This window comes from Homo sapiens, chromosome 1 (genome assembly GCF_000001405.40).
Source record: "Homo sapiens chromosome 1, GRCh38.p14 Primary Assembly".
Taxonomy (NCBI): domain Eukaryota; kingdom Metazoa; phylum Chordata; class Mammalia; order Primates; family Hominidae; genus Homo; species Homo sapiens.
Genome location: NC_000001.11, coordinates 214,185,537 through 214,193,774, shown reverse-complemented (window position 1 = coordinate 214,193,774; position 8,238 = coordinate 214,185,537). Strand labels below are relative to the sequence as shown.

The 8,238-nt window shown below is 39.8% G+C and overlaps 1 annotated feature.

The window, feature by feature from the left end:
• Positions 386-952: an enhancer, noted in NCBI's record as "NANOG-H3K27ac hESC enhancer chr1:214366166-214366732 (GRCh37/hg19 assembly coordinates)". NCBI's record gives its function as "activates a minimal SCP1, AML or CMV promoter by ChIP-STARR-seq in naive H9 embryonic stem cells {active_cell/tissue: H9 hESC(naive)}" and the evidence as "EXISTENCE:reporter gene assay evidence [ECO:0000049][PMID:30033119]".

Below are 8,238 nucleotides of genomic sequence, written 5' to 3'. Positions count from 1 at the left end.
AAAATCTCATTTCTTCCTCATCTTCGGCTAAAAGGTTCACTTATTTGTCAATTTAAAAGCAACTGGGGTTCAAAGTCCTGTTAGTTCACAGTCCTTGACTTCTTGTCTGTTCTGGCCCCTTATCAATACTCTTCAGAGGGGGCTGTGGCAATACAAAAGGAGCAAAGAGCTATTGTGTGCATCTTACAGAGGTCCTTGGCATTCCACACCGGGCATGCCAGGTCGTCTCCTTTCCACCCCGTTGCCCTCACATGAAGCAGTGGTTGAGGACTGAGTCTGCAGCGAGTGCAAAGCAGTGAAGCAGTCGGGACACAGTGTTCCTGCGGTCTGCTTTCCTCTAGTGTGAAAATTACGCTGCATCCCTCTGGGAGAAGCATTTGCAGCCTAGGAAGGGGGTGGTGCTCATAATAAAAACTCGCTGAGAAGCCAAAATCCTAGGCCTGATTTTCCTTTGGTTTGAAATGCATACTGTTGCAAGGGCAAGTGACCTTCTGTTATTGACGAAATACCTTGAACATTTCTTTCACAGTCTGTTGCTGCCATGCCTGACCGAGCAAATCCTGCTTAATTCCTCTGCTCCCTAGAGGAATGCCTCAGGACCACACTGGAAAAAGTGAATGATCGATTAATGATGAAATTGGCCAACTTGCCAATAACGATAAATTGCTTTGTTCATCCCACAGCAAGGATGCCAGCTCAGTGTGTTGCCTGTGCCTAGAGACAAAGGATGGGAACTCTGGTCAAAATTAACATAGATGAGCTTTCAGACCTATACTGAGCACAATGACAACAATGAGTGACTCACATGTCTGTCTCGTTTTTGACCAACTTAAAATGTTTCACACAGCCTTATGATCAGATATTTATATTTGCAGAAGAAATACAATGGTAGCAGTCAAAATTTGGTTACAGCAGGCTTCTTTCTCTTTTATTTGGGTGGATGTGAGTGTCGTGGATGAACATGCAAATTTTAATGTGTATAAAACTCTCTGAAGACAACAAAACCACTAGAAGATCCACTAGGAATCTGCAGTCCCCTTGAGAAAATAAAATCTGCACATGAAACAACATAAAAATAAATACAAAACGACATGTCAACAAGGACAAATTACCAAACAGTCACTGTTTTTATTTAGTATTTTTGAAATCATGGAATGAATTTTTTTTAATTTAAGGGTAATAATTACCCTATACAATATTTTAGAAATAAATAAATCTAATAAATAAAGATGAAAATAACTACTAGCAGCAATCTACCCCCCAGGAAAAAGAAAAGAAACCATTTGTGGATAATGATAAGGGAGAACAAAATTTTAAAATAAAAAAAGAAAAGCAATCACTTGACATTTTAAAGTAATTATTTCTGGGCTTTAAAACAATGTTGTAACTTTATTCATGGAAGAGTGCTTTACCATAATCTCTTTATCTTTTTTTAAAAAAAATTAATTGTGGTAAAATAGGCATCATATAAAATTTACCATCTTAACCATATTTAAGTGTACAATTCAGCAGTGTGAAGTATATTCACATTGTTGTACAACTAATTCTGGTCTTTTTAAAAAGACATATACTCATTGATATGGTAGATTTTAAAATTATATTTATTGTTGCAAGTAACATTTTTTCCTAGTATCAAAAATAACCCATGTTCAGTACAGAAAACTTAAAAAATACCATTCATCTAATCCTAAGAAAGAAATAATGGTAAATTTTACTGGTTTGCCTTCCAGCATCTTTCTTTGTGAGTACATGTATAGATCTAGGTCTGTATGTATACATCATTAATATTTGCATCTATAAAGACAAAATTACATCAAAGATATCACATGCCTTTTCCTTTAGCACTATTTTGTGAATTATCTTATGAAAATAAATAAGCCTGTGTATATAGTTTTCTTTTCCTTCTTCTTTTTTTTCAGAGACAGGGTCTTGTTCTGTCACCCAGGCTAGAGTGCAGCAGGGCAATGATAGCTTACTAAAACTTAGAACTCCTGGGTTCAAGCAAAAAAACTTAGAATCCCCAGGCTCAAGTGATCCTTCCTCCTTGGCCTCCCAAGTAGCTAGGATTACAAGTGCACACCACCACGCTTGGCTAATTTTTAAAATTTGTTTGTAGGGACAGAGTCTCGCTATGTTGCCCAGGCTGGTCTCAAACTCCTGGCCTCAGCGATCCTCCCACCTTGGCCTCCCAAAGCACTGGAACTACGGGCTTGAGCCACCACACTCAGCCTTGTGTATATAGTTTTGTTGCCTGATTTTTATTCTCCCATTTTCCACTTTAGTATGAGCATTTTGTGGTTACTATATATGAGAAGGCCAGAGTAATTTAAAGTAAAGGGAGGAAGTGAATTTATGATGAGAAAGCTTTCTGGAGAAGGCCCTGAAGCCCCCTCATCCACTGCCCACCTGCTGGCTACCTCCCAGGCACTTGGGCCTCTGATGCACTTAACAGGCTACAGGCTGGATTCACTTTCTACCATAGGCATGGGTCAAGGGCAAATTCCGTCGGTTTTAGTGCAGTGGGTCCACTCAACTGTTGAAAATCAGGCTTCCTGCCTCTTGATTTCTTTCTGGAAATGCCCTCTTATCAGGTTATAAGATAATGGTGCTCTTTCTGAGCAGCAAGCATTGAAGGCAAGAGGAGATGATACTGAAGGGCAATTACTTACCTGCTGTCTACTGAGATATTATGTTTCAAGATATACAAGAGAACTTTAAAATGCTCCTTAAAATATAAAATCATTTCAAAAAATTCTAAGCCATTAGTAACAAGTAGTAAGTTAGCCAGATTATAGAATTTGAATTGTATCCTGGGAGTTGACAGATTGAGACTCTGAGTTCATAGTAGTCCCCTTTAGTCAGTGACTCATATAAACTGATACCTATCGCTAATCACTAATCATTTTATCCAGTAACTACACTGGCTGCAGACAAGCTGAGCGATTTGCTATCAGGTTCTTGGAAGGGGAGAGGAGGTAGCATGTGTGACTGAGGTCATAAAAATTTAGTTACTATGAAAAACTCTTAATATATACAAACTTCTCAGTGGAAAGTGATCTGGGTACTAGATTTAGTTTTGTTTTTGTATTTTGTTTGAATGGATTAGCCAAGCAATCTTAGCTAATCACTTAACTTTCTCTGTGCCTTGGGTGCATTTTCAGTGTAATAGGTTTAATACTTCCCAGTTTACCTACTAGGATTTTTGTAACGCTTGAATTTGTTAATATATATGGAAACACTTTGAAAATGTAAAACACAATATAAAGATATTATTAGCTAAGGACTTTTATTATACAACCTCATAAAATAATTTGGAAAATGAATTAAGAGAGCAAGATTTGTTTTCCATGCAGAGTCAAGTAGCTGACTGGCTGTTACGTTTGGAAGTATGTGGGAAATATTTTTTGTAGATATACGTTTGTATAAACCTCACAGGAAAAATTAAACATCTTTATAGAAGCTAAAAAAGTTGATCTCGTGGAAGAAGAGAGTAGAATAGCGCTTCTCAGAGGCTGGGAAGTGTTGGAGGAGGGGGGAGACGGAGAGATTGATTAAATGCTACAAAATTACTGCTAGATAGGAGGAATAAGTTCCAGTGTTCTATAGCACAGTGGGATGACTATAGTTAACAATAGTTTATTATATGCTTCCAAATAGCTAAAAGAGATAATTTTTGGTGTTCCTAACACAAATAAATGATAAATGTTTGAGGTGATAGATATGATAATTACCTTGATTTGATTGCTGCACACTGTATGTATCAAAACATCACTATGTACCCCATAAATATGTACAATTATTATGAGTCAATTAAAAAAAAGTTAAAAACATTAAAATCAATTTCCCTAGACTTAGAATGAAAAACATTGAGCATCTTTAAAGAGATACATCACTAAAAACATATTATTAAAAAGAAGACAGTTATTCTGTATACAGCCTAATGTTGTCTTTTTATGATCGTATTTGAATTTGCATTCAGGCATCTGATTGCTGCTTGGGGCAAGAACTATGCATTAGTTATAATCCCATCTTTGGTGCCTGGGACAGCGTCTGACATATAGTAAGCATTCAATACTTGTTGGATGAATGAATGAAAACTGGTACTAGACATAGGTTTAAAGTGTTTAGCAGGTGAGACAGTAGGTTACTGACATCTATTAGAGAAACTGCTATATACCAGTTAGACTACTAGGCTTTAGCTCATATGCTATAATGTTTATCAAAAATCCTTGGTAAATATTCTATTAGTTATTACATGATAATGACTCTGTTCCCCAAAGACACAAACATGAAACATGGGTGTACAGATAGACCATGGACTATTTTGTAGAATTCAACCAAGCTATGGGACACATCTATCCATCTACCTATGTACTTAGTGAATACATACATGAAATGGACACAAAAACACATACATGAACACACACACATATGGCATATGTTCCCATTGCCTGGTTTGATTATAGAAACCAATTATTTTGAGGCTAGTTTGGAAAGAAGATTCTTGTTTTATAGTTGAAGAGATGTTGAGTGACTTTGCTTAAGGCAACATGGAAGATTCGTAGTGTCTGACTTCCTTTAATGGGTACATAAAGGGCCTGGGCTCTGATTTGGGCTAGAGTCCAGGAGCCTGGACTGGGTAGGTGAGTGGACAGAGTATTACATAGCTGCAAGCTATGGAAGTAAAGTTCGAGTCTCAGCAATGGCAGTCCACACCTAGCATATTCCAGAAAGTAAACAAGCATATTCCAGAAAGTAAACAAGCAAAAGCAAAAGATCAGTGTGGTGGATATTGACATGGGTGCCACCCACATCCCCTTTAGGAAGAGAGGACCAATTTCTTTAGCTGGAAAACCCCAGGCTGTCATCTGCTTCTAGGGAATTGCCTCTGCAGAAGAAACTCTTCCCTGGGAGAGCCTGAATCCAATGGCTCAAAATAGGAGGATAAAGGTATGGTCTCCTCATGTCAACTTGGAGCAACTCTGAAGAGTCACTCTGGCTTCAGAGCTCCAAGTAGGATGGCTTGAGGATGGCATCGAAACTGGGTCACAACTCAACTTCTCCCTCTGCCCGTTTCTGCTTCCCTTCCCTTCTTTTCCCTAGATGTTGATTCCAAGACCTCTCGAATAAACACCTGCAAGCTAACCTCCATCTCAGAGTCGGCTTCCCAAGAGCCTCAGAGTCTGTGTCCCAAGGCCAGACCCATTTTCCTGGCTGACAGTCTGCATTTGATCATTTCAACTACCTTGTGAGGTAGAGAGGACAAGTATTTTTTTGGCTCACTTCACAGATTTGGAAACTGAGACTGACGGCAGGTTAGTGACATAAACAAGAACCCACGACTAGTGTGTGGCAGAATAGGAAATCTGACCTGAACTCTTTTGATCCCTGGCTTAGTACCTTTATAAAATATATGAAAACAGAACTGTACTAGAAAAATAAAAGATGGGGATTTATGGGAAAACCCCAGCCAGGGAGGCAAAAGCATTGCGGTAAGGATGTACTGAAGTGTAAATGACATGGCATAGATGTGTAACCATGGAAAACGGCAGCAATGGAGACGCCCGCTGGCCTGGGAACTCTCGGAGGCAGTGGAGATAAGGGGTGTGGGGTTCGTAGAAGTCGCTCTGCTCTCCCTGAGGGGGAAACAGTGAAAACTGAGACCTGTGGCAGTGTCTGGGATTGGTAGCTCTAGCCCCAAACTGAAGAGCAACTTTTCTGTGCCAGACTTCATGGTCCTACCTGAATCACACCACTTCTAAAAGATATTAATCTTTTGTTAAAGAATAATTTTCTCTTTAGTCACACAAATTACATACATGGAGATACAAACATTTACACATATAATTTTATAGCATATGTGTGTAATTTATATCCTATGTATGTAATTGTATAGCATATATACTGTGTGTGTATACATGCAACCTTTATATGTATGTGTGGTGTGTGCTGTGTGTGTGTACTGTGTGCGTGTGCTGTGTGCATATGTGTATATATGCATATATATGTAACGTTTCCCCCCCATCGATTGCTTTGCATCGCTTGTCCCTCAAACTATTTTATAAGCATCCGATGTTTTGGCTGCAGGGACGATTTCCAGATTAGTCTCGATTACATTTATTTCTAAAGGATCTCGGTGTGTTCTGAGCACACGCCTGAGAGCGGAGCCGGGTAGAGCTGAGCAGAGCGCGGCGAGCTAAGTTTTCTCACGGGCTCCTGTCCCCCTGAAGCCCCCTTGGCGCCTGCCCTGAGCGTTCGCAGGCAACCGAGGCAGCGTTCTTCGGGATGTGCCAAGCGCCGCCCGCCCGCTCGCTCCTCCAGCTCGGCCCCTTCCCCTGCAACAGACCACACGGTTCAAGACGACGATGTGACAGAGAGAAAACAAGCCGCTCTCTTGTCTGTGACCCGCGAGGCGACCGCGGCGAGCGGGCACCAGCTCCCCACTCCGATTAGGCAATTAGCTGATTGCTGCCTGCCCGCAGCCCGAGCGAGCGGTGCGCGGGGATCTCGCTGCCTGCCCACCTCTCCTGCAAACAGAGGCACGTTCTCCGACTTTGATAGCTCCCTGGGTTCCTGTGAAAAACAACCACAGCGTTTCCAGAGTGTGTTTCTCAAATACCAGCGTCAGGGGATCGCAGAATTACAGCAGCAAATGTTACGAGGTAATGTTTCCAAATAGACACGCTGAAAAATAATCCAAATAGGACCATTAAAGAATAATCCTCATTAAACCCAAACCAAACCAAACACAATCATTCTTAAAAGTGTATTAAAGGGGGAGAAAAACACCAAATGTTTTAAGAGAAGATTAATAATTTGTTCATTAATGTGATTGGATAATTACACATCATTGGTCTTTCCAGAGTAATGCATTTTAAAAATTTATTATTTAAAATGCTTTTTAGATTTGTCACATACAATGTGCACATCAGGTGTGCAGAGAGCTTTTTAGCAGGCAAAAGTGGCTCACAATATTAGACAATGTGCTATTTTTTTCTATGAGAAAGCAGCCTTTCCTAAAACATTAATCTGCTGAAAAAAGATGCTTCTAATTTAGAAGAAATTAGACGTGGAGTCTACACAGCAAACACCTCTGCTAACGCTTCATTAGTAAGTATTTTCACATAATTCAATTAGCCAAAACACATACGCATGCTAGCAGAGCTGTTCGCTGCTCTGGGAGTGTCAGCAAGGCTTTAAGCAGATCTGAAACAAAATTGCATAAATGGCATGTAAAGCTCTGTGCATACAAAGATACCTTCAGGGTTCTAATAAATTCATGAAACTTTTTAAAGTATGATTTCCTAGCAGGCAATCACTTTTAATTAACAGGATCACCTACAGCAACACATGTCCTTCAAAAACTTACATTATTTTTTCTTTTTGAATTTCAAAGTTTCTGTAGTAAAAGTTGAATAGCTGAGTAGCTTAACCTCAAAAGGATTCCAGGCTTTTATGACAGTTATAAATCACTGTGGTGCCTTCTTTATAAGAAGAAAAGATTCTTAACACAACAGAGAAAGAAGGAAATCTCTTTTTAGTCATAGCTAGAAGCAAGCATTTTCTCCAAAGGTCAAAAAACTTTTCCTCAGTTAAAGAATAATTTTAAGGACATTGCAGCTACTTGTACAAGTAATCTCTTGTAATTTACTCTATGAATTAAACATTCAATTTCCAGGATTGTAGTTCCACATGGGATGGACTTCTCTCTTTCTGGAGCTGGCTTTGTAGAGTTTTTTTTTCCAGTTTAGTTTTTAGTAAATATGGGCCAGGGCTGAATGCAGGGTCTTATACTTAATGAGCCCTTCTCCTTGAGGAAAAATCAGAATCCGTACATTTGCCAAAAGATTCATTTGAGTGGTTGTTGCCGTTTCTTTTTCACGCCTTTGTTTGAAAGAAGGGACGTGCTCATAGGCTGTGCTAATGGTTGGGTTGCAGAAATCTGAAAAAGAGACTTTGATGATTCTGAGACAAGGGACCCCTATGCTTTCCTCTAGATGAGGAGGCTCTCTGCTTTGTGATTTCCCTAAGTGCAAAGGGGGTAATCAGGGAGACATTTTGAAAGTGTAGAATTAGGATGGTGACTTTTGCTCTTCTGAAAAACCGTGAAGATACCTGCAGGGTGAAGATTGCATGTCTTGACCATCGGGGTGAAGGGTGAGAAGCAACCTTTGCAGGCGGATGTAGCAATACTGTCCACCACCACCCCAGGGGCACTTGGAGAAGCCAGTCATCATT